The sequence below is a fragment of the Homo sapiens genome, chromosome 19 (assembly GCF_000001405.40).
Source record: "Homo sapiens chromosome 19, GRCh38.p14 Primary Assembly".
NCBI classification, from domain to species: domain Eukaryota; kingdom Metazoa; phylum Chordata; class Mammalia; order Primates; family Hominidae; genus Homo; species Homo sapiens.
The window spans coordinates 50686191-50711347 of record NC_000019.10 but is presented as its reverse complement, the minus strand read 5'-3'; the positions used below and the strand labels follow the sequence as shown (position 1 = coordinate 50711347).

The 25157-nt window shown below is 56.9% G+C and overlaps 1 protein-coding gene across 4 annotated transcripts in view; it reads left to right on the top strand.

Annotated features, from left to right (window-relative positions):
- The window catches only part of SHANK1 (SH3 and multiple ankyrin repeat domains 1), a 60548-nt gene that overhangs the window by 8455 nt on the left and 26936 nt on the right, over nucleotides 1–25157 (top strand). The window contains exons 9-22 of one of the 4 annotated variants that reach the window (XM_011527013.3): nucleotides 6834–6911; nucleotides 7162–7228; nucleotides 7518–7848; nucleotides 8688–8881; nucleotides 13392–13505; nucleotides 13684–13759; nucleotides 14226–14252; nucleotides 22069–22151; nucleotides 22380–22504; nucleotides 23290–23425; nucleotides 23686–23766; nucleotides 24308–24331; nucleotides 24536–24604; nucleotides 24993–25111. In XM_011527013.3, the coding sequence (XP_011525315.1) occupies nucleotides 6834–6911; nucleotides 7162–7228; nucleotides 7518–7848; nucleotides 8688–8881; nucleotides 13392–13505; nucleotides 13684–13759; nucleotides 14226–14252; nucleotides 22069–22151; nucleotides 22380–22504; nucleotides 23290–23425; nucleotides 23686–23766; nucleotides 24308–24331; nucleotides 24536–24604; nucleotides 24993–25111 (1524 nt within the window). Of the gene's footprint in view, nucleotides 1–6833; nucleotides 6912–7161; nucleotides 7229–7517; nucleotides 7849–8687; nucleotides 8882–13391; nucleotides 13506–13683; nucleotides 13760–14225; nucleotides 14253–16001; nucleotides 16446–22068; nucleotides 22152–22379; nucleotides 22505–23289; nucleotides 23426–23685; nucleotides 23767–24307; nucleotides 24332–24535; nucleotides 24605–24992; nucleotides 25112–25157 lie in introns of those variants that run through there. The other 3 variants (NM_016148.5, XM_011527014.3, XM_047438894.1) reach the window with 3 other exon arrangements.

The window sequence follows — 25157 nt, the reverse complement described above, 5'->3', positions numbered from 1 at the left end:
AGGCCCCTCACATCCCCGATAGCCGCCTCCCCCAGGGCCAAGCTCAGACACTCCTCTTGACTGCATCTCTGCACCCTCCACTTCTTCACTATTTCCACCCTTTCATCCAGTCATTCCTCCATTCATTCCTCCATCCATCCATCCATCCATCCATCCATCCATCCAACAGATATTTACTGAGCTCCTCTGTATCAGGCCTGGAGCTGGGTGCTGGGGACAAAGTGTTGAGCTCATGGCCTAGCAGAGGGCAGACAACATAGTTTGCTGCTACAGTCCAGAGTGCTCAGAGCAAAGTCACAGGGAATCCAGATCCCTGCGGGAGCCCACATCTGGGACTGGGCTTGGGATGGAGTGGCTGGGGGTGAAGGTGGCTTCCTGGAGGAGGTGCCCCCAGTGTTAAGATGAGCAGGAGTAGAAAAGAGGAGAAAGGGGTGCTCCAGGGTGGGGGCACAGCCTGTGCAGAAAGCCAGAGGAAAGGGGGCTGTGGGTCCTCAGTTCCCCTGTGTCTGCATTCAGCCAGTGGTGTGTGCAGGTGCCACGTGGCGGCACGGCAGGGCACAGGGGAAAGGCCAACGTGCAGCCCCCGTGGCCCCTGAAGGGAATGACAGTGGGATGGGAGTTTTAGCAATTCAGGACCTTGGGGGTCCTGACAACCTGGGTCCCTGAGCAGGAAGGGAGTGCTGAAGGGAGATGGGAAGAACACCCCCACTTCTGGAGTTCCTAGGAGAGGAGAGGTACGGAGCAGGCAGGGGGGCTCGTGGCAGCTGGTTGGCAAGAGCCGGGTCTTTCAATGTCATGACCTCTGGTACTTTAGCCACCTGAGCTGCAGATGATCCTGGGCAGGTCAGCCCCATGGAAAGCCTCAATCTCCCCACCTGTTTCTTGATGCTTCCTGCCCTTGAAGGGCAGCTGGTGGGGGTACTTAGAGAGACAGGCGCTAGCATGACAGAGCTGGTCTGTCAGCCCCCTTCCTCCAGGAAGTCTTCCAAAACAGCCCTCAGCCCCCTCTGCCTCGGCAGAACTTGCAGTGCTGGGGATTTGGCGGGTGGCCACGTGCCGCCTTGTGGCAGCCAGCAGTATGCCTGGAGCCCAGGGAAGACTCAGTGTTTGTCAAACCGAACCAACATGGTGCCGGCACTTCTCTCCCCACGTGCTCCTGTCTCCTGCTCTGCGACACAGGCCTCACAACCAATCCTCTGACTCCCAGGCCCTCGTGCAGCTGATGGGGAAGAAGCCCTGGCCCCACAGGCAGATGGGGGTGGGGAGCAAACAAGTCCCTCCCCCTCTTTGAGGCTCCATCCTTCTTCCTGAAATGGGAATAACGCCAGCTCTTATTGACGAGGGTGAGCCATCGTGTATACTAAGTGCTCATCCCTGGAAGGCAGCCATCAGAATAATAATTGTCATTGTTACCATCACCAGTGTCAGTCAGGGTCCAGTCGAGAGACAGAAACTGTACCGTTCAGATAAACAGAGAAATTTTGGTATAGAGAATTAGACCAGGCACGGTGGCTCATGCCTGTAATCCCAACACTTTGGGAGGCTAAGGCAGGAGGATGGCTTGAGCCCAGGAGTTCGAGACCAGCCTGGGCAACGTGGGAAAACCTGGTCTCTATGAAAAAATACAAAAATTAGCTGGGCACAGTGGCATGCACCTGAAGTCCCAGCTGCTCGGGCAGCTGAGGCAGAAGGATTGCTTGAGCCTGGGAGGTGGAGGCTGCAGTGAGCTATGATCATGCCACTGCACTCCAGCCTGGGTGACAGAGTGAGACCCTGCCTTAAAAAAAAAAATTAGAATTAGACAGCAGGCAGAGTTTTCTTAGTGGGACAGTTGCACAAGTCATTTTCCCCTCCTTGATCTCCTTTCTCAGCTGTGAAATGGGTCAATAATTAATATCTACCATGCAGGCCGGGCGCAGTGGCTCACGCCTGTAATTCCAGCACTTTGGGAGGCCGAGGCGGGCGGATCACTAGGTCAGGAGATTGAGACCATCCTGGCTAACACGCTGAAATCCCGTCTCTACTAAAAATGCAAAAAAAAGTTAGCCAGGCGTGGTGGCGGGCGCCTGTAGTCCCAGCTACTCGGGAGGCTGAGACAGGAGAATGGCGTGAACCCGGGAGGCGGAGTTTGCAGTGAGCCAAGATCATGCCACTGCACTCCAGCCTGGGTGATAGAGCGAGACTCCGTCTCAAAAAAATAAATAAATAAATATCTACCATGCAAAAGGATCAAGTGGGTTAATAGGTTTGCTTGCCTTTGCCATGGGCTTAACAAACCGATGCATAACACATACGAACTTGATTCCTCCATTTCCCCCCTTGTCTTCCTCCCAGGCTTTAAGCTTTCCAAGAGCCAGGGCTGAGTCTGACAGTTTTTCCTCAGCCTCTGCCGCCTTGGCCTCCTGATATGCCCGTCTAGCATTTGGTGGTGAATGTCAGATCCGTGTCTAGGCTGTGAGCACCTCAAGGGTGGGGGTTGAGTCTGATTACTTGCTCTGTTCCAGGACCCCAGCAAACAGCAGGCCTAGTTCCATCTTTGTTGAGTGAGTGAATGAATGAATGAAAATGAGTGAATGAATGATGGGGTCAGCCCTCTTGGATTTCCACCAAGACTGTGCACAGTGCCTGGCTCAGAGCATTCAACAGGTGTTTGCTTGTTTCAACAGACTGAATGACTCAACCAATGAATGAATGACTCGAACAAATGAATTTTGACTGACTCAACCCCACATCCTCCATCCTCATCCTTTCCATGCACGTTCCTTGAGCACCTACTATGTGCACAGCACCAGGCCTTGGGGATGTGAGATGAATCAGACACAGCATCTGGCCTGGGGAGGGCGAGGGCGGGGTTGGGGGGGGTGGGAGTTCACAGTCTGGTGAGGAGGCAGACGTGTAAGCAAATCATGGCTACGACATGAGATAAGTGCTAGGATGCCGTTAAATGCGAGTTTCTCTTGGTGCCCAGGGGAGGGAGCCATCAACTCTGACTTGCACACCTTCTCAGCTTTGTAAGAGTAGGATGAGGAGCAGGTGACCTTAGGGGCTGTGCTCTGGCCCTGTGCCCCCAGTGTGGGTGTTGGGGCTGTGAAAACATGCAAAAAGCCAGGCGCGGTGCCTCACACCTGTAATCCCAGCACTTTGGGAGGCTGAAGCAGGCGGATCACGAGGTCAGGAGTTCAAGACAAGTCTGGCCAAGATGGTGAAACCCTGTCTCTACTAAAAAGACAAAAATTAGCCAGGCATGGTGGCGGGCACCTGTAATCCCAGCTACTTGGGAGGCTGAGGCAGAGAATTGCCTGAACTCAGGAAGCAGAGGTTGTAGTGAGCTGAGATCGCGCCATTGCACTCCAGCCTGGGTAACAGAGTGAGACTCCATCTCAAAAGAAAAGAAAAGAAAAGAAAAGAAAAGAAAAGAAAAGAAAAGAAAAGAAAAGAAAAGAAAAGAAAAGAAAAGAAAAGAAAAGAAAAACACGCAAAAGTACACATGGCAGGAGTTAACAGTCTAGTTGGCCAGCAGCACGGGCATACACAGACTCACATGCACACACACACTCCCAAACACACCCAGAACACACACTGGGCTAACTCTGCTGCCCGATGTGTGACTTTGGCAGTCAGAGTCGTCCATTCATAGGAGATAGGTGAACCATAGGATCAGAAGGCCAGGTGCACAGGAGGATTGCTTGAGCCCAAAAGGTGGAGGCTGCAGTGAGCCGAGATCACGCCACTGCACTCCAGCCTGGCAACAGAGCGAGACTCTGTCTCAAAAAAAAAAAAAAAGGAAGAAGAAGGCCAGGTTGTTGGAATCCTAACTGCTCCACTAACTGGTTGTGTGGCCCTGGGCGTAGCATCTGCCCTCTCTGAACCTGTCCTGTAACATAGGCCCATACAAACCCCTTGGTGGATTTGTCATGTGGAAGGGGTAAGATCAAGGAGGTGCTTGGGAAATGGTGGTTAAATTAGCATCAGAGGGCGCTGGGGTAGAGTTGAGCTGGAGGCCAAGTTGGGTTTGGCCAGGCCAAGATAAAAGGGAGAGGACACTCCTTCTACCGAATAGTCCCTGTGGGTCCAGCATTAATCCAGGTGGTGGGTGCCACAGGCAAAATCATGCCCCTGTACAACTTATGGTGTAGAGGAGAAGAGACACTACTGAGACAAATAACAGGAAATGGAATTTCAGTGAGACGGGGTTACGAAGAAAATGAGTTAACATTGGCTTAGAGTGCCTGGCACATACATCAGTGTGGTACTAAAAAATAAAGCAAAGGGTTGAGCACGGTGGCTCATGCCTGTTATCCCAGCACTTTGGGAAGCCAAGGCAGGCGGATCACCTGAGGTTGGGAGTTCGAGACCAGCCTGGACAACATGGGGAAACCCTGTCTCTACTAAAAATACAAAAATTAGCCAGACATGGTGGTGGGTGCCTGTAATCTCAGCTACTTGGGAGGCTGAGGCAGGAGAATCGCTTGAACCTGGGAGGCAGAGGTTGCAGTGAGCCGAGATCGTGTCACTGCACTCCAGCCTGGGTGACAAGAGCGAAACTCCATCTCAAAAAAATTTTAAAAATAAATAAATAAATAAAAATAAAGCAAGGAAGAGGACAAGGGTTTTTTTTTTAGACAGGATGGCCAGAGAAGACCTCTCTGAAGAGGCGGCATTTGTGCAAAAGCCTGAACGAAGTGAGGAAGCAAGCTATGCTGAGATCTAGCGGGAAAGGATTCCAAGCAGAGGGAGCAGCCGTGCAAAGGTCCTGGGGCATTAGTGTGCTGTCAGAGGAAGGAGGTGGCCAGTGTGGCTGCAGCCTGGGAGCAAGGGCAGGTGGTAGAAGATGAAGTTGGTGAGGGTCAGGGTGGGGAGTGGCAGGGCAGGCAGCTCAGGTTAGCTCAGCTAACCCTAACCCTCCTAGGCCGTGGCATGGACTTTGTGCTTAGCCCAAAAAGTGATGATGGGTGCCATGTGATTGACACCGGTGAGAAATTGATCTGAATGTAGAAGGCATCCCTGTCCCCACTGGCCCAGTCCTGCCCCCACCCTTTCCTCCACAATGTGTGTCCCCTTCCTTCTGGGCCTGGCAGAAAGTGTGATTAAGATAGAAGACTTTGGAGTCAGAGAGATCTGGGTTCGAATCCAAGGCTGATAATCACCAGCTGTGTGACCTTGAGCCCCCCCAACCCCCCCTTTTTTTTGAGACAGGGTCTCACTTTGTCACCCAGACTGGAGTGCAGTGGCATGAACAAGGATCTTTGCAGCCTCGACCTCTTGGGCTCAAGTGATCCTCTCACCTCAGCCCCACAAGTAGTTGGGACTACAGGCGTGTGCCACCAAGCCAGGCTAATTTTTTAAAATTTTCTGTACAGACGGGGTTTCGCCATGTTGCCCAGGCTGGTCTCAAACTCCTGGGCTCAAGCGATCCTCCCTCCTCGGCTTCCCAAAGTGCTGGGATTACAGGAGTGAGCCACCACCCCTGGCCCACCTTGGGCTCTTTTGAAAGCCTTAGTTTCCTCCTCTGTAAAATAGAGACAATTTCCATGTCCTGGAATTGTTGGGCAATTCAATGAGCTTCTGCCTCTAAAGTGCCAAGCGCCTGGCACGTAACATGGTAAGCCTCCGTAAGGTCTAGACCTGTGGTTCTCAACCTGGGAGCTTCTGTCTCCCAGGGGACACTTGGCAATGTCTAGAGACATTTTTGGTTGTCATGACTGGGGAGGGGAGTGCTACTGGCATCTAGTGGTAGAGACCGGGGATGCTACTCAACATCCCACAGGGCTCAGAACACCCTCCACAAACCAATGAATCACCAAAGGATTATCCGGCCCCAACATCCAGTGGAACATAGCATGAGCACATACCCTAAATGCCCTCAAATATCCTAGTGGCCATGTTAAAGAGAAGGGGAAAATAATTAGGTGACATTTATTTTAACAACATATTTTACTTATAACAGTGTATCTAAAACATTATCATTTCAACATAGAATCAATACAGAAATTATTATTTTTTTTTGAGACAGAGTCTCACTCTGTCACCCAGGCTGGAGTGCAGTGGCAGGATCTCGGCTCACTGCAACCTCCACCTCCTGGGTTCAAGTGATTCTCCCACCTCAGCCTCCTGAGTAGCTGGGATTACACACGCCCACCACCACGCCTGGCTAATTTTTGTATTTTCTGATAGAGACGGGGTTTCACCATGTTGGCCAGGCTGGGCTCAAATACCTGGCCTCAAGTGATCCACTCACCTCAGCCTTCCAAAGTGCTGGGATTACAGGTGTGTGTCACCACACCTGACATTTTTTTTTTCTGGGGGGGAGACAGGTCCCTGCTCTGTCACTCAGGCTTGATCTCAGCTCACTGCAGCCTCCAACTCCTGAGCTCAAGCGATCCTCCCACCTCAGCCTCCCAAGTATTCGGGACTCCAGGCACCCACCACCTGCCTGGCTAATTTCTGTTTATTTTTTTGTAGAGACGGGGGGCGTCTCACTATGTCACCCAGGCTGGTCTGGAACTCCTGCCTTGGCCTCCCACAGTCTTAGGATTACAGGCTTGAGCCACCACGCCTGGCTATAGACATTTAAATTCTTTCTTGTTTTCATATGGCATATCCTTGAAATCCAGTGTGTAGTTCGCATGCATGGTGCATCTCCGTTTGGGCCGGCCACGTTTAAACTAAAGTGCTCCTGGTCCGTACCTGGCAGGTGGCTGCTGTCCTCAGTGGTGCGGGTTTAGGGTGGAGTATTTATTCCTGAGGCTCTTAGCACAGAACCTGCATCCACTCATGGTGATCTTAATTTTTTCTCTCTCTCTTTGTCCTGTGCCACTGGCCATTACCCGCAGGAGACCTGTGCCAGGATCCTCCTGTATCGAGGTGCCGACAAGGATGTGAAGAACAACAACGGACAGACCCCCTTCCAGGTCTGGGGCTGCAGGGGATGTGCTGGAGTTTCCAGGGCTAAGGAAAGGGTGACAGTGACACCCAGTGGATAAGGAAGGGGACAATGAGGAAAGCAAGGAGACAGGCCGTGGAGGGGGAGCTGGAAGAAGACAGAGGGCGGCATTGTCGGAGTGGAAGGTTTGGGTCGGGCCAGGGACCTCGCCACGTTCCCTGCCCTCTCTCTGCTGCCTGGGCCCCCCTGGCCGACCTGCCTCTACCCCCTCCCTCCAGGTGGCAGTGATTGCTGGGAATTTTGAGCTGGGGGAGCTGATCCGAAACCACCGAGAACAGGATGTGGGTGAGTGACAGGGAGCTCGGACTGCACAGAGAACCTGGGGCGGTTGAGGTTTCATGGTGGGATGGGGGAGTTGGGGGACCTGACTTGGGGGCCAGGATAGGATGGAGAAAACCCTAGAGGACCAAAAATGTCTGGATGGTGGTGGGGGAGCAATTCCAGGCCCCCCTCCCTTTCTCATCTCTGTCTTTCTCCCTCATGCCTCTCTCCCACCATCTCTTGCCCCCGCATGGCCCCCTGCTTGCCTTTTCTCCCCTAACATCTGCCCCCCGCCGCCACTGTGCCCTCTCAGTGCCCTTCCAGGAGTCCCCCAAGTACGCGGCCCGGCGACGGGGGCCCCCAGGCACAGGGCTGACGGTGCCCCCGGCGCTGCTGCGGGCCAACAGTGACACCAGCATGGCGCTGCCCGACTGGATGGTGTTCTCCGCCCCGGGGGCCGCGTCCTCTGGGGCCCCTGGCCCTACCTCAGGGTCCCAGGGCCAGTCGCAGCCCTCGGCCCCCACCACCAAGCTCAGCAGCGGGACCCTCCGAAGTGCCAGCAGCCCCCGGGGTGCCAGGGCCCGCTCTCCATCCCGAGGGAGGCACCCTGAGGACGCCAAGAGGCAGCCCCGAGGCCGGCCCAGGTAGGGGAGGCAGCCCTGGCTCCACAGTCCCCAGCCCCGTCAAATCCCCTCTCCAGATCGGCGGCTTCCCCCGAGGCCAGCCCAGCTGCCTTCCTCTGTAGGCCCTCATCCAAGTCCCTAGTGTCACCTTGGGGTAAAGCAAGGCCTTGGGAGCTACTGTCCCGACTCCACCCCCGGTGCACCACATGTTAGCTGGATGTCTGCTCCAGGACAGGGGCCCCAGGCAGAGGGTACCCCAAAGAAACATGGGCCCCAGCCCCTGGGGACAGACAGAATGACAGGGTGAGGTGGAGGGAAGCTGAACAGGAAGAGGATGGGGGGGGTGGCAGGGACTTGAGGGGGACAGAGAGGTCACTCTGGAGGGAGGATGAGGAAGGGGCGGGGGACATTCCGGGGTCAGGAAGCCCACCTGGCTAGAGGAGGGTGAGAAGGAGGCGAAGGCCAGCCAGGCGTGTCCCGAGGAAGTGGGGGAGAGGCTGGCAACGGCGGGCAGAGGAGTTGGACCTGACCCAGGAGGAAGCTGGGAGTCGCGGAAGGCTCGTGAGCGGAGGGATGACACAGTCCCAGCTCAGCCTCAGGAAGCTGAATCAGGCGGTGCGCGCAGGACCGTGGGAGGGGGCAGAGCCGGAAGCCAGGAGGCAGGAGAGGGGGCTGGTTGGGGCAGCTGCGGGCAGGCAGAGGGAGCCCCCAAATGCCCTCTTCCTTGGAGGACGCCAGTGCTGGGAAACCCCCCCTCCCCCCTGATGCACCGTCCTCTTCCCCCACCCAAGGACCCCTGTCCTCCCAGAGGTGTCCCCTCCCTCCACCCTCCCCTCCTCTCATGCCCTCTGTGTACGCAGCTCCAGCGGGACACCCCGGGAAGGGCCAGCCGGGGGCACGGGGGGCTCAGGGGGCCCCGGGGGCTCCCTGGGCAGCCGCGGGAGGCGGAGGAAGCTCTACTCAGCGGTACCCGGACGCTCCTTCATGGCTGTGAAGTCCTACCAGGCCCAAGCCGAGGGGGAGATCTCCCTGAGCAAGGGCGAGAAGATCAAAGGTACCCAGGGTGGAAGCAGGGCCTGGGCTGGGCTGGGCTGTGGGGGCGATCAGGGAAAATGTGGAGCAGAGAGCAGACCATTCTCGGGCACCTGGAGTATCTCATGCACTCTGGAGACCTCAGAGAGCCCCAGGACACCCCTTGAGGCTTGGAGGACCATAGAGTGTAGCTCAGATGACCCTGTCAGGAGGCAGTGAAGTGAGCCGTGTCCCACTGCGGGACACTGATGCCGTGTGCAGGGCATGGCTGGAACTTCTCACCAAATCGTCTCATTAGACTCCTGATGGCCCTTTCTGGGGAGGGAGGTCATGGGCCCCATTGCATGGTTGAAGGAACAGAACCTCACACAGGTGAAGCCACTTGCCCAAGGTCCTCAGTCCAAGCCCACAGTCCTTCCTGCCACCTGGTGCAGAGCGTGAGGCCGAGCAGCCTTAACTTTGCCTCCTGCATCTGTCCAGGGGTCCTCAACTGAGAGACAGGCAGGGACCTACTTCTAGGGCCCCGACGAGCTGGCAGATATAAGATGTTTGGCCGTGGCGAGGGTTCCCAAAATGGTGGTGCTGTTATCAGGGTTCACCTCCCTTTGGTTTTTCCACCTTCATCTGGAAAGTGGAGCCAGTCTCCCCTGCTTATAGGCTTTGCAGGGCTGCTGACGTGTTCTTGGATAGAAGGATGCTTTAGAGACCACCACGTGCCGCAGGTGTGGCCGTTAATACGAGGCATTGGAACAATTCTTTGCCAGACTCTAGGCTGCCCAGGAGCTGAGCGGTATAGAGGTTGAGAGCCTGGCAGCCTGGGTTCAAATCCAGACCCCACCACTTCCTAGCAGGGTGACCTCAGCCAAGTGATTTCTCTGGGCCTCAGTTTCTTCATCTGTAAAATGGGACTTTGATGAGGATTGGAGGAGTCAGATCATGTAAAGTACTTAGACCAATGTTTCCTACATAACAAGTGCCATATAAGAGCCATCATTTGGCCGGACAAGGTGGCTCACACCTGTAATCCCAGCACTTTCGGAGGCCGAGGAGGGTGGATCACCTGAGATCAGGAGTTTGAGACCAGCCTGGCCAACATGGTGAATCCCCATCTCTACTAAAAATACAAAAAAAAAAAAAAAATTAGCCAGGTGTGGTGGCACGCACTTGTAATCCCAGCTACTTGAGAGGCCGAGGCAGGAAAATTGCTTGAACCCGGGAGGCGGAGGTTGCAGTGAGCCAAGATCACACCTGGCTGACAAGAGTGAAACTCCATCTCAAAAAAAAAAAAAAAAAAAGCCATCATTTTCCTAAGTGGCCCCTACTTCAGGCACTTAGAGGAGAGAGACCTGGGCCCCTGAATAAGCAGGGAGGATCCTACCATAGAAGGTCAACTTGAGTGAGGCCTTGAAGGGTATTCGGGGGTCAGAACATCAGGTGGGCTGTGTAACTGCATGTGTTTCCTAGTCTCTCTTCCCATAGCCTGAGTTCCTGTAGGTGAGGTCATAAGTCACTGGTCTCTGGGTCTCTAGGGCTCAGTTTAATGACCCAGCACACAGGAGGCTTTAATGCACATATGTTGAGTGAATGAATGATCAAATTCAGGAGCTACTGTGGGGGCCAGGTGCAGCTCCTTCAGGGCCAGCTGCCTGGGATGTAGGCACGTGGGGTTGGGGGAGATGGGAGAAAAGAAAGGTGAGCTGAGGCCAGAGGTAAAGGACCTTCCGGGCAGGCAGAGGACCATGGGCAGTATCTTGCTGAGCTACAAGCTCAATGCTTCTACGCAGGGAGAGAACACACTGCCTTCTGTTTTTATATCCTCGTCTTCCATTAAGAGGGACTTAATTGCCTCAAAGCACACCCACATCCACGATGTCACTGAGCTTCACACAGCCTGATGAGGGAGCTGACTCCTGCTACTCTCAGAATCACAGCCCAGAGTCTTCACCTGGCCTCCAAGCTGCCTCTCTGCCCACCTTGTCAACCTCATCTCATGCGACTCTTCCTTTCACCCACAAGGTTCCAGGGACCTCATCCTACTCTCCAGTCCTCCAATGCCCCAAGCCCTCCAATTCTCCAATGCCCCAAGTCCTCCAATCTCCCAATGCCCTGAGCTCTCCAATCCTCCTATGCCCCGAGCCCTCCAATCCTCCAATGCCCCGAGCCCTTCAATCCTCCAATGCCCCGAGCCCTCCAATCCTCCAATGCCCCGAGTCCTCCACTCTCCCAATGCCCCGAGCCCTCCAATTCTCCAATGCCCCAAACCCTCTAATCCTCCAATGCCCCGAGTCCTCCAATCTCCCAATGCCCCAAGCCCTCCAATCTTCCAGTGCCCGAGCCTTCCAACCCGAGCCTTCCAACCCTCCAATGCCCCGAGCCCTCCAATCCCCCAATGCCCCGATCCCTCCAATCCTCCAATGCCCTGAGCCTTCCAACCCTCCAATGCCCCGAGCCCTCCAATCCTCCAATGCCCCGAGCCTTCCAACCCTCCAATGCCCCGATCCCTCCAATCCTCCAATGCCCCGAGCCCTCCAATCCTCCAATGCCCCGAGCCCTCCAATCCTCCAATGCCCCGAGCCCTCCAATCCTCCAATGCCCCGAGCCCTCCAATCCTCCAATGCCCCGAGCCCTCCAATCCTCCAATGCCCCAAACCCTCTAATCCTCTAATGCCCCAATCCCTCCAATCTCCCAAAGCCCCAAGCCCTCCATTCCCCCAATGGCCCAAGCCATCCAATCCTCCCAGTGCCCAAGCCTTCCAGTTCCCCAGTGCTACCAACCCCTCCATTCCTCCAATGCCCCAAGCCTTCCAATCCCCCAATGCCCTGAGCCCTCCAATTCTCCAGTCCTCCGATATACCAACCCCTCCATTCCTCCAATGTCCCAAGCTTTCTTGTACACCAAACTCTTCAAACATGCTGGTCCTTCTGCCTGGAACTCTTCCATGCTCTCTTTGCCTCCCCAGCTCCTAGGATCCTTCAGGTCTCAACCTATGTGTCACACCTCAGGGACACCTCCCTGGACCCCTTTGCCATTATAAGTTATATACTCCCATCTGGCTTCTCTCCAAACACCCTCTTATTTTCCCTTGAGCTCTGACCCCAACTTCCAATCATACAGTCACTTGTATAGTTATGCCTCTATTGGCCACTGCTCTGGAAGCTCCTCAAAGGAAGGAACAACATTGATTATATTCAACAGTGTCTACCCTGGTACCTGACTCATGACTGGCACTAACTAAATATTTTTACAGTGAACAAATGATTGATTACAAGACCACCAAGCCAGGCATGGCAGTACCAGCCAAGAACCCAGTCCCCTTGACAACCCATCTCCTGCTCTCTTCCATGACTTTCAGCTTCCCCTCATTTGGTCTCCCCAGATGCTCTCAAGGGAGGCAGTTTGTGGAGGGGAATACATCTGATGGCCCCAACTCAACCCCTAGCATAGCTGGAGCCATCTCCAGGCAAGGGTTTTCTCCACATTCGCTTCAGCTTCTTTGTCTATAAAATGGAAAAACAGTTGTTACCTACCTGGGTAGGCACAAGGGTTGAACGAGGAAGGAAACTATGTGAAGGGCTGAATGGGGGCAGAGTCATGAAAAATGCCGGAGAAATGGAAGACCATGTGTTTGCCACTGGTGCCCTTGTCATGCACTGAAGCCGTTGCATGGAGAGGTAGCGCACATGAGTGACTGAAAGTATGCCCTCTGGAAGCAGACTGAGCTGTGTTCAAATCCAGATCTGTCAGTTACTAGCCTTGTAACCTTCAGCAAATGATCTTGGCTCTCCAAGCCTCAGTGTTCCTATCAGTAAAAGGGGGATAATGAAAGTGGCCCCTCTTAGGGTTCTGGCCCAGGTGAGAGTTGGATACGCATTAGCTGTTCTTGTCATATATCTCTGTTTTTCAGCAGCAGGCATGTAACAGGCAGTCTGTGATGTTTGCTAAATGGGGAAGCGGTGGGGCCTGGGAGGGTGGGCAGGGGGAAGCCGCTTCCATTAGGGGAGAGGGAGAGAAGGAAAGAGGTGATGCTAATCTCTTTTCCCTTCTAGAGCCAGGAGAGGCCGAGAGAGACAGAGACAGGGGTCTGGGGACAAAGGACTAAAGATTAAGTGGCAAGGAGACTTTGGGAGGTGGCAGGGACAGTGATGGGAGGGTGAGGTAGAACTTGTCGCCCCATCCGTGATCTAAGTCCACAGAGCCTAGGAGGGTGAAGGGGAATTACACAACTGAGCTGTGACCAGTTACCAGGGGAGACAAGGACCAATTGTGGACCTGCCTCTAACCTAGGAAGACCATGTTATGGAACAGTCGTCTTCCCCAATGCCTGTCATCCTTATTGGATCCAGAAACTAGAATGCAAGAGTGATATGATATGGGTCTCCCCCAAGCTCCTCGCCCCTTCCTCAGATGTTTATTAAGGATGGCCTTGGGCCAGGAGCTGGTAACTGTGGGAATGCTCTAAGTTGAGTGTGTTGGCAGTTGAGGGGCAGCACAGAAACACAGAAATGTCTCTATGTCCCCGTTCCCCATCCAGTACTTAGCATCGGGGAAGGAGGCTTCTGGGAAGGCCAGGTCAAAGGTCGTGTTGGCTGGTTCCCCTCTGACTGCCTGGAAGAAGTGGCGAATCGCTCTCAGGAGAGCAAGCAAGGTAATGCGGAACCCCCAGCAGTGTTCAATGGACCCTAGGATTCCCACGTCCACTCCTTTCCCTTCCTAATGGGGGTGGGGTACTGGGAGGTAGATGGGAAGACTTGGGCCAGGAGCTCTAGGGCTGGGATTGTGGTTTCCAAAACAAGAGTCCAAGGTTGTCTGTTGTCACCCTGCAGAAAGCCGCAGTGACAAGGCAAAGAGACTCTTCCGGCATTATACCGTGGGCTCCTACGACAGCTTTGATGCCCCAAGGTAAATGTCCTTACACCCTCGGGCAACCCCCCTCACCCCAAGTTCCCTTCACAATGTACACCTTTAAATATTTCCATCACCTCTAAGCCCCCTTTCTAATCTGTTCCTTCTCAAGTTTGATCCAGGGGTGGGATAAGCCAGAATTAGCTTCAGACAGTACAGCCCAACCCCAAACCATCTTCGGCAGCCACTAAGACTGCCCAGCTCTGGGGTAGCCAGAGACAACGGGGTGGTCAGGGCAGGGTGGGGATGCCTGGGGGGGCCGGGGCGCTCTTATGTCTGGCTGGCTGGAGGCCCTTGTCTCCTTCATGTGCCCCATCTCTGTGCAGTCATGTGCAGTGGGAATGTGTGTGTCCCATGCACCGGTGTGGGGAGGGTGCAGTCAGGGCTGGGTGGGATTGGGGTGAGGAGATGGGTGCACTGACACCTTTCCCCTCCCTGGCTGCTGGCTGACTTGCTTCGGAAGCTTAATGGATGGGATTGGCCCAGGGAGGTGAGAGGCGAGGGGCAGGGAGGGGATGGGGTCAGGAGGGGAAGGACGGGGTGCCTGGGGGGCGTGTGAACGTGTGTGCACGACCAGAGCTGAGGTTTCTTGGTGTGTGAACGTGTGTCTCTGTAGGTGTGCATGACACGCATCTGTGTGCATGTGTGGCCTGGATGTACCTGTACCTATGCCCGGGGCTGGAGGGTCTGCCCTGCTCTGTATATACTGGTGCCTTTGTGGCTATGATGACTGTGGGGCTGGCTCTGCACATCTGTGCTTCTCTGAATCCGTGGGCAAGCACCACAGGGCATGTCAGTGAGTCTGCTCACACACATGGACAGGTGGGTCTCTGCACACATCCGTCCCTCTCTGTGCATGTCACTGTGCGTGTGTACTCGCACATTAACGTGTGTGCATGCATGTGCGTCTGTCTGATTGATCTGAGATTCAGGACCTGGGATGTTGGGGGAGGGAAGGGCAGAGGAGGGGAGGATTCCAGGGCTTGGGCCTCCAGAAGGACAGGGCTGTGGGGGAGGGAGGGTCATAATTTGGTGTCTAAAATATGACACTCTCCTCCACTGCTCCCCCCAATCCAGGGAAGAGTCCCCTTGTGCGTAGCATCCTTCCATTAAATGTGTCCAAACCTACGTGTCTGTGTTCTGGCCAGTGGGGATGGGTCGGGGATGGGGGGGACAGAGAAATGGCAACATGGGGAGAGAGGGTGGGGCTGGGGTGCCACCCTGCGCCCCGAGTGTCTGAGGCGCTTGACCGTTGTGCGTGTTTGCCTGGCGCGTCTCCTGCTCTGGGCACCGGGTGAGTATTGGGGTACACCCCCCCACACCCCGAGCTTCTATGTCGGCCTCTGCTTCTTGTCTACCAGTGTCTCTCTGGGTCTCTCCTTGGCCTCCGTCTGTGGGGGTCACTTGTCCTACCAGCTGAATGCGGGTGGTCCCCGTCACCCTCAGCTTCCTCCTTCTACTCTGTCTTGTCAATGGGCTTCCTCCCCTACTCCTCCGTGCCTCTCGCTGGCTCCCACGTGCTGCTGTGTGTGTGGTGCGTCTCAGCTTCCCCTCCTCCTGCCTCCCCGCTCTTCCCGGACCCTGTCTGCGCTGGCCTGGCCTGTGCTGTGCCGTGCGCCCGGCAGCCAGGGCCCAACCCCAGCCTCCCTGCCGGAGCTGGGCGGTCCTTCCGTGTGTCTCCCCTCCTGGCGTGTGCCGCCCCCTCCCCGCGCTGGCTCGGGGTCCACGCTCTCTCGGGGAGCTGTGGTGGTGTGTTCGCCCCTCCGCCTGGGCTTCTCTGGTGGGGGAGGGGTGTTGCTCATGGCCTTGGGGCCCAGTCTGAATGTCCTGGCCTTTCTTGCCGACTGTGTCGAGGTGCGTTGCGTGTTGGTCTGTGGTGGTGGGCTGCGTGTCCCCGCCTGGGGCCTCTCTCACCCGCGGTGTCCCTGCCGGGGAAGCGGGGCTCCGTCCGCGCGTCCGTGCACGCGGCTGCGAGGCATCTTGTGTGATGTTGTGCCTCCCTCTCCCCGCGCTCTCTAGCTCTGCACCTGCGCGGGAGGGCTCTGGAGGGGGGAGGGGGATTAAGGGGGGGCCCAGACCGGAAGTGCCTCCCCTTCTCCTCCCCCCTCCAAGCCTCGCCCCTCCCCCTTCTCCCGCCAAGGGGGCCCCCGCGTTCCCCTCCCGGCCCCCTCCCCCCTGCCCGGCCCCCTCCGCCGCCCGGCGCAGGACGCCAAGGGGTTAAGCCTCGCGCCCGCCGCCCGCCTCCGGAGCTGTCCGCGGTGCTGAAGCCGGCGCCGTCCGCGGTCCTCGCGCTACCGCCGCGGCCCGACCCCGCGCCCCGCGCCCCCGCGCCCCCCGGCATGTGAGCCCCCGGCCCTGCCCTCCCTCCCGCGGGAGGGGGTGCGCGCCCCCTCCCCCTCCCCCCTCCCGGCGCGGGTCAGCATGAGGCGGGGCCTGGGGGCCCGGACACGGGGGTTCGGCCGAGCGGGTACGGGGACGCGGCGGCGGCGGCGGCGGCGGGGGCGGCCGGCACCGGGACCCGGGCCGGGGCTGGGGCCGCGGCGGCGATGGCTTTGTCTGCGGTCGGCGGCGGGGGTCTCGGGGGCGGCCCCGGTGGGAGCTCCCTGCCGCAGCCGCCCCCCGCGCTGTCCTCCAGCTGGCCAGCCCTGGGGCCCCGGCGGCGCAGCGTCTGGTACATCTACAGGTAACGGAGCGCGCCGCCTCCTGCTTTGCGGGCCGGCCGGCAGGCCCCGGCCCGCGGTGGCGACCCTCCCCCGCCGCTAAACCCCAGCCCCAGGGCCTTTCCCCTTCCCCCAACCCGCCCCTTCCCCTCCGCTCCTCTTCCCTAACCTTCTCTCAGCCCGAAATCCCTTTCGGGCCCCTGGTCTCAACCCTTCTCCTCTCCATCTTCCTCCCTGGAATCCTCTCCCCGACCCTCCCCCCTAATACGCACTCGTCAGCCCTGGGAATCTTTTCCTCCACCCCCTCACAGGCCCTTCCAGGCCCCCCTCTGCTCTTCCCCCAAGACCTTCCTCCCAGCAGGCCCCCTAAACCGACCCCCCTCCAGGATTTGGAGCCCACTCGCCTTTCTGCCGCCCTTAGCGCCCCCATTCCCCGGAGCCCTCCCTGTGGGGAGCCACCGTGGCTTACCCGCATCCGCCTACATCCCAGGCCCCTGTCCCTCTGATCCCCACATCCCCACACCTCTTCACGGTGTTGGCAAGTCCCCCCATTCATACCCCTCTCTCCCATTCACAGTCATCCCCCCTCCATCACACACGCATCCCGCCCCCGGCTTCCCCTCCCCTCCTCTTTTTCCGCTGCGTGTCACTGTGCGACGGTGCGTGTGTCAGTGTGGCTGTGTCGATGTGCGTGTGTGTGACTGCCTGCAGCCGCGTGCGTGTGTGTGCGTGTGTGTGTGAGAGAGAGAAATGGAGAGATGGTGGGCTCCCAGCCCACCCCCCAACTGTGTCCATCTGTGTGTCCCTGTGTGACAGCGTCTGTCTCTGTATGACTTGGAGCGACAGCGAGGCTGTCTGGGACTGTGTGTGTGTGTGTGTGTGTGTGTGTGTGTGTGTGTGTGTGTGGTGTGTGCTGGAGTGGGTCTGTCCCAGGGACTGCGGCTGTGCTTCCCAACACCCACCCTCCTGGGCCTGGCCTACCCCTCCCCCACAGGCCCCTACTTCAAGGGTCCATCCTGTGTCTCTGTCCCCATGTGCTCCTCTCCCCTGCCCCCTTGCCCCCGGGGGTCTGTGCATGTCAGGAGTACTTGAGTCACTGGCTCTGCCCTCTGCCCATGTGGGGCACGTGTGCTGAGCCCCGGCTGAGCTGCATGGGGAGCCGCATCCGCTTGTGTGTGCCACTTCTCAGCATGGGGAGGGGGGCTGGCGTCCCTCTGTGGTGGCCTCTGGGCAGGCCATGGACACGGGTACGTGGGAAGGGGCTGAGTGCGGGGTTGGGGGTGCGCCCGTGCACAGCAGCAGGCTCTGGGCTGGCGGACCCTGGGTGTGTGAGAGGGACGTTGGGGTGGGGAGGGGAGTGCAGGCCGCTGCAGTGCCCCTGTGTGTGGGATCCAGTGAACAAGAGCTGGCTGCTGAGCTCTGGAGGCCGCTCAGGGTCGCTTAGGGATGGCCTGGGGAAAAGCATTGTGTGGGCTCCTGCAGGGCAGGTAGTCAGCCAGAGGGAGCCTGAATGGGGTGCTGCAGGGGCAGCCAAGATGGGGGGCAAGGGGGAGGGACTAGAGGGGTCTGGGTAGGAGGTGCAGGGTTGAGAATGGAACAGGGGAGAGTGGGGACACTGAAGTGGGGGAGGGGTGGCGGCTGGAGCACCGAGGGTTCGGAGCAGAGAAATGGGGTGGGGAGGGAATTCAGGGAATGTGGGGGGGTATTTGGGGGTGGGGATTTGGGCAGTAGGGGGAGAATACCAAGAGGACACAGGGAATGTAAATGAAACGCAGCTGCCAGTAAATGCAGGCGGGAGGGCATGTGGTGAAGTGAGTCGAGGGGGCAGAAATAGGTGGAGGTTTCCACGGATGCAAAAGAGGGTACCCAGGAAGTATGAAAGGGACCAGAGGTACTTTAGGGGAGCCAGTGAGATTACTTACGGAGGTGCAGGAGGGTGTGGGAAGGGTGAGGCCAAAGGATGAGGGAGAGGTCGCAGGACAAGGGTGAGGAGGTCACAGAGGTCTGAGGAGGATGTTTAGGGGGAAAGGGGGGTAGGGTGTGTCAGGGGACACGGGAAATGGGGGGATGGCTCCATAGGGTGTGAGGAGGGCTTGTGGGAGTCAGGGATGAGGGGGGTGGGTTAGGGCGATGTGGAACCTCAACATGGCATGGAGGAGTAGGGAGTGAGGTGCAGAGAGGAGGGGTACACAGGAGTTGGGGAGAGGGAGTTTAGAGGTACATGGAGCTGTGGGAGCAAGAGAGCAGTTGGGAAGTTCAAGGAGACTGTGGTGGGATGAGGGCAACACCACGTATGTCCTAGCTGGGGATTGGGTGAGGGAGTCATGGAGCAGAGAGGGGAATGGAGCATGTGTAGGATAGGGGGTGGTTGAGAAGCAGAAGCAGGAACAGGGTGGGTCTGGATGTGGTTGGACCCCCCTCCCTGCCTCAGATCACCACTGGTGTGTGTGTGTATATATATATATATATCTGGTGAATTCAAATCTTGGCTTTGACATTTTTCTAGCTGGTGTCATCTTGAGCAAGTTATTTCTCTGTGCCTCGGTTTCCCCATTTATAAAATGGGAAGAATAACAGTCAACCCTTCCCTGGGTTGTTGTGAGGACTAACTGAATACATAAATGGAAATATATAAATGCAAAGTGCTTGGAATCATGGCTGGCATTCAGTAATAATTCGATAAGTGTTCCTCATTGTCATGGTGTTACTGCCACACCCTGGGATAAACTCCAGGTGCTGCAGGGCCGAGCTCAGGGTGGATTCCGAGCAGATGGATATATGTGCTCAAGGTATTTCGGTGCTGTGGAGTGGAGGGTATTACCACTGCAGTTACCCGAGTATTCTCTTGGGTATTGTTGAAGAATGATACTCACTGTGTGACCTTGGACAAGTTACTTAACCTTTCTGTGCCTCTGTTTCCTCACCTATAAAGTGAAACTAGGGCTGGGTGTGGCAACTCATGCCTGTAATCCCAACACTTTGGGAGGCTGAGGTGGGAGGCCTGCTTAAGTCTAGGAGTTCAAGACCAGCGTGGGAAAGATAGTGAGACCCCCATCTCTACCAAAAAAAAAGATTTTTTTAATTAGTTGGCCATGGTGGCAAGCACCTGTAGTCCTAGGTACTTGGGAAGCTGAAGTTGGAAGATCCTTTGAGCTCAGGAGTTTGAGGCTGCAGTGAGCTATAATTGTGCCACTGCACTCCAGCCTGGGCAAGAGAGTGAGATTCTGTCTCAAAAAATATGAATAAATACATAGATAAAGTAGAACTGGTACTTATCCCTGCCCCAGAGGCTGGTTATGAGAAGACAATTTAATGATCTATCTGTGAAGGGCTTCAGATACTGCCCAGCCAATGGCAAGTGCTCCTTCTTGGCATATTGATATGGGAGTTTTATTGACTATATTGGCTGACATTTGGGGAAGGCTTATGTATGGGGTATGAGGCTGATGAGGGGGCAAGAGAGATTCCAGAGGGGAGGGAGAAAGATGGAGGAAGGGAGGGGTTTGTGGCATGAGTGAAAGAAAGTGAGGTTGCCTCCAGTGAGGAAGGGTGCTGCTGGCTGCTGGGGGGCCTTGGAGACCTGGAAGAGATACAGGAGGAGGAGTAAGAAGGTGGGAATGGGGACATTACAGAATGCATGGTTAGAAACAGGCAGCTCTGACCTCTGAGCCAATTTCTGTGTCCAGTTTCCCCGTCCACTTGCTGTTCTGGCCTTCTCGGCCCCTTTCCTCCCTTCCCCTCTCCCTTTTCCTACCCTCATTCACCCCTTTCAGCCCCTTCCCTCCTTCTCTGCCAACACCTCTCTATCCAGGGGAGGAAGACATGGCGGGTATGGTGTGGATGAGTTTACTGGACTGTTACGAACTTTGAGCGAGGACTGTTGCTGGAGTATGTACATGTGAACATGCGTGGTGTTAGGTGCACTGAGGTGCCACAAGGAGGGTGGCAGCAGGAAGGGAGGACACGTGCACATCCAGAACCCTGTCGCCATGGTGCAAATGTATGGATTTTTACAAGGGGAGCCATGGGGGTCCTGGGAGCATACAGGGGTGCTTGTGGGGGTGGTACCTAAATACAGTGGAGCACAGTAAGTATTATTGGCATTTGCTGGGATGTATGTGTTCAGAGGGCGTGTTATGGGAATACACTGAGATCCGAGTGAGGGGGAGTTATTATTGGAACATACTGGGATGTGTGGGGGTTGCCGAAACATACTGGAGTATTCGAGGACGGCTGTTTTGCTGAATTTGTGGGGGCAGGTAATTGGGGAGCATGCTTGGCTATGATTGGAGTGTATTAGGGCCACATGGATGTTACTGGGATCTGGGTATTATTGGAATACACTGGGATTGTGAGGGTGGGAGGTGCTACAAGTGTGCCCTGGGACAGGCTTTAGACAGTGCTGAAGGAAGCTCAGCACAGCAGAGCACGCGTTCCAGTGACTCCTGGGTGTTCTTGGGTATTCTGAAGGCAGTGGGGTTGCAGCCAGGGTGTCTGAGTATTCCTGATGTAGACTGGGGTGTCGGATCCTCTGGGAATGGAATGGATGTATATTCCTGAGGTGTACAGTGGTCATGTCAGGAGTTTGGGGCTGTTTGAGTGAGCCTTGAGATCCATGAACTGTATCTGAGTTTCATTGACATTTCCTGGGTACGTGAGCCTTACCTAAATGTGCTGGTGGCATTTGATGGCTTTACTGGAAACTACCACCCATATTCATGGGTGCTTTGCATTTTACTATAATAGAATATGCTGACTGCATGCAGTAGCTCCATTTGAGATGCACCAGGGAATACAGAAGACAGTGCTGTCCACGGGGAGCTTTGCAGCAATGGAAATGTTCTATATCTGTACTGTCCAATGTGGTGGCCACCAGCCATGTGCAGCTTCTGCACACTTGGAAATATGGCCACTGTGACTGAGGAATTGAATTTTTCCATTTGATTTTGATTAGCTTTCATAAAAACAGCCACGTGCACCTAGTGGCCACCATATTGGGCAGTGCAGAATTAGCAATTTTACCCTGTGTGGGGTTCCTGGGAGGTGACATATGTATAAAGGAATTTTGAGGGGTATCATCAAAGTACATGAGTCCTCTTGACTTAACACTCTGACCTAAGGACATCGAGCAGATCATATTGAGCACCTACTATGTGCCAGGCACTGTGCGAAATACTAAATGTGTATTACCCCCACTGGATTCCCACTGCAACCCCATCAGGTAGGATCTGTGATAGCCCCCCATTATAGATGAGGGAACTGAGGCACAAAAGGTTAAAGTTGTGGGCTCAAGGTCATAGGCAGGAAGTGACTAGCAGGGACCCAAGCCTGGCTGTCTGGTAATCTGGAAGCTCTTCTCCCCATCCTCCCCACCGTGCCTGGTGCTGAATGGATGGGTGGATGGATGCATGGATGGATGAATGAGGAGAGAGGGAGTGAGAGAGAGAGCATGCCGGCTCTGAGGGGGAAGCCCATCAGGGCTAGCATACACACACAGAGTGGGTGACAGAGATCCTAGGAGATGCAATTAATGGCCCTGGAGCAGAGGTTTGGGTCTGGGTTGCCGGGTGGGGGACAGCCTCTGTGTCTCATGATGTCTTCTCCACTCCCCCCACCACCCCCCCATTTCTCCTGCCTCCCTGCCAGCGATTACATCATTAAGGAGAAGACAGTCTTGCTGCAGAAGAAGGACAGTGAGGGGTTTGGGTTCGTGCTCCGGGGGGCCAAGGGTGAGTGCCAGCCGGGGAGGGGATGGGAGAAGGGCTCTGTGACCCCAGAAGCAGGGCTGAAAATGGGGGCTGGAAAGGGGAAGGGACCCCAGCCCGCCCACCACCCCACCCCGGGGTGCTGGTCCCTCAGCTGCGGTGAGGCCTCCGTGACTTGGGTCTGAGCCCCATCCCCTGCTCGGCCTCTCCACCCCCTCCCCTCCGACCCCGCCGGCTCCTCCCTGTCTGCAGCGCAGACCCCCATCGAGGAGTTCACCCCCACCCCGGCCTTCCCGGCGCTGCAGTACCTGGAGTCGGTGGACGAGGGTGGCGTGGCATGGCGAGCTGGACTGCGAATGGGAGACTTCCTCATCGAGGTCAGTCCAGGCCCCCTCTCTTCCCTGGGACCCTGTGACAAGTTCCCAGACCCCCTCATGATTCACACCAGGATCTGGCTGCCCAGTTTTATTCTCCTTTGGCACCAGGATTCCCAGCCCCCTGCCCACCCCCCAGCCAGCCTCTGCTTTCCCCAGCGATTCCATCTAAAGGCCTCTGAGGCATCTCAAAAGAGTGACACAGAGCTGTCCCCAACACATACACAATACCGGGGGATGGCCAGGCACAGCGGCTCACGCCTGTGATCCCAGTGCTTTGGGAGGCTGAAGCAGGTGGATTGCTTGAACTCAAGAGTTTGAGACCAGCCTGGGCAACATAGCAAGATCCTGTCTCTTAAAAAAAAAATTAGCCGGTGCTGTGTGCCTGAGGTCCCAGCTATTCTGGAGGCTGAGGTGGGAGAATTGCTTGAGCCCAGGAAGTCGAGGGTGCAGTGAGCCATGATTGGGCCACTGCACCCCAACCTGGGTGACAGAGAGAGACCCTGTCTTTTAAAAATAAAAGTAAATAAATAAATAAATACTGGGGACAAGGAGGGAGGGGGAAGTGAATAGGGTAGGCTGAGCCTCTCCCCCAACCCTGGGGCCAGGGAGGGTGGGAAAGGGGGCTTGCCCAGGGAGGCGGTGGTATGAAGGGTCGGAGGGAGAGGAACATAGCCCAGAGGGCCATGGACAGGGCAGCGCAGGAGGCATCCTCCTTGGGGTCTCTGAAGCTGCAAGCACCCCTCCCCTCGTCTACTCTGTGTGATCTGGGGGTGTCTGTGCCACAGGTGAACGGGCAGAATGTGGTGAAGGTCGGCCACCGACAGGTGGTGAACATGATCCGCCAAGGGGGCAACACGCTGATGGTGAAGGTGGTGATGGTCACCAGGCACCCGGACATGGATGAGGCAGTGCACAAGAAAGGTGCTCCTGCGGCCACTCTCGCAGCCACCCCACTGCCACCAGGCTCAGCCCTGCGGGAGCCCCAGGGCTGGTTGCTGCTGCCCAAGGCCTTCCCTTCCCTAGCACTGCTTCTCCGTGACCCTTGTGGGGAGAAACTGAGGCAGGGAGGGCTCCGCACGCTGGCAATGGCTATTCTCTGAGCCCTGGGAGCCCTGTGGTGGTAGAGGGTGGTGGGGGCATCTCCCCCATGATACTGATGCCTCCCCTCATCACCTTTTCAGCACCCCAGCAGGCCAAGCGGCTGCCGCCCCCAACCATCTCCCTGCGTTCCAAATCTATGACCTCAGAGCTGGAGGAGATGGGTGAGCCTGCGGGGCTGCTGAGGCCAGGGGGCCGGGGGGAGAGGGGAAGGAGGGCTGGACCATCCCTTGAGTTCGTTAGTGTTGTTAGTGACCAGGGGTCCTTGTCCTCATCCTGTCCCCAGTCCATGGGTCGGACTCTGGCCTGTGTGTGTGTGTCTCTGGGAAGGGGTGTCTGAGAGACGACTTTCCTCTGTGCTCTTGTATCTGTTTCTCCGTTGGGGTCTCTCTCAGGGTCTGTATGTACCCTCTCTGCGGGTCTCTCTGTCTCCTTCCTTTTGTCCCACCTCACCCCCCAGCCCCATTCAACATCTCTCCCTCCACCAGCTCCCCCCAACCCCCAATAACAGAGGAAAGCGAGCCCCTCCCTCCAGACAAGGCCGAGTGGACCTGGGGGTCCCATTTCCCCTGACAGGGGGCTGGTCGGACAGCTGACCGCCCCCACCCCGGGGCCCCGAGGGAGGCGGGCTTCCAGACAGGGGGCCCCTCACCTTCCCCTGACGTCCTAACTCTTGGCTCCTCTACTGCCTCTCCCCCGGGCTAGTCTCCCCCTGGAAGAAGAAGAGTGGTGAGTGGGCACAGGACTGGCGGGAGGGCCCCCGTCTCCCGACCCCGCCGGCGGACTCGCCCCTCCCTGACCCCGGCCCCTCACTGCCCCTCTCGCGCCCGCCACGCCCACTGGCCCGCACCTGCTGGCCACGCCCACAGGCCGAGCCCGCTCCGCCCCGCCCCCGGGGGCTCCCTGGGCGTCATCCGTGTTCTTTGCCCACAGAGTACGAGCAGCAGCCGGCGCCGGTGCCCAGCATGGAGAAAAAGCGGACCGTGTATCAGATGGCTCTCAGTAAGACGGCCCAGCCCTGCTCCTCGGGATGCCGGGCCCCAGCCCCGGCACCCGCTGCATCCCTGTCCCACCATGAACCCCACGGCGCCCCTCACCTTCCTGCCCCAGAGAGGCTGCGATCCCACCTCCCCTCCCTCCGCCCGCCCTCTCCCGACGGCTGCCCCGTTCCCTGCCCGCACCCCTTCCCACCCTGGGTGCTGCCCACTGGGCTGGGAGATTGTGTCTCCAAGCGGGACTGCCCGTCCACCCGGACCCAGGCAGGGCTGCCCTTTCCTGGTTGATCCAGGTGCTGGATGAACTGCGGGCGGCAGCTCTGGTCTTTGCGGCCCGGGTCAAAGCAAACTTCATTTCATTGTCTTCCCACCTCTGTTCATTCATCTACCCCTAGACAAACTGGACGAAATCCTGGCCGCAGCTCAACAGACCATCAGTGCAAGCGAAAGCCCTGGTCCCGGTGGCCTCGCGTCCCTGGGCAAACACCGACCCAAAGGTTTCTTTGCCACTGAGGTAGGCGGCCTGGTGTGGGGAGGAACTGCCAGGGGGGAGGCGGTTC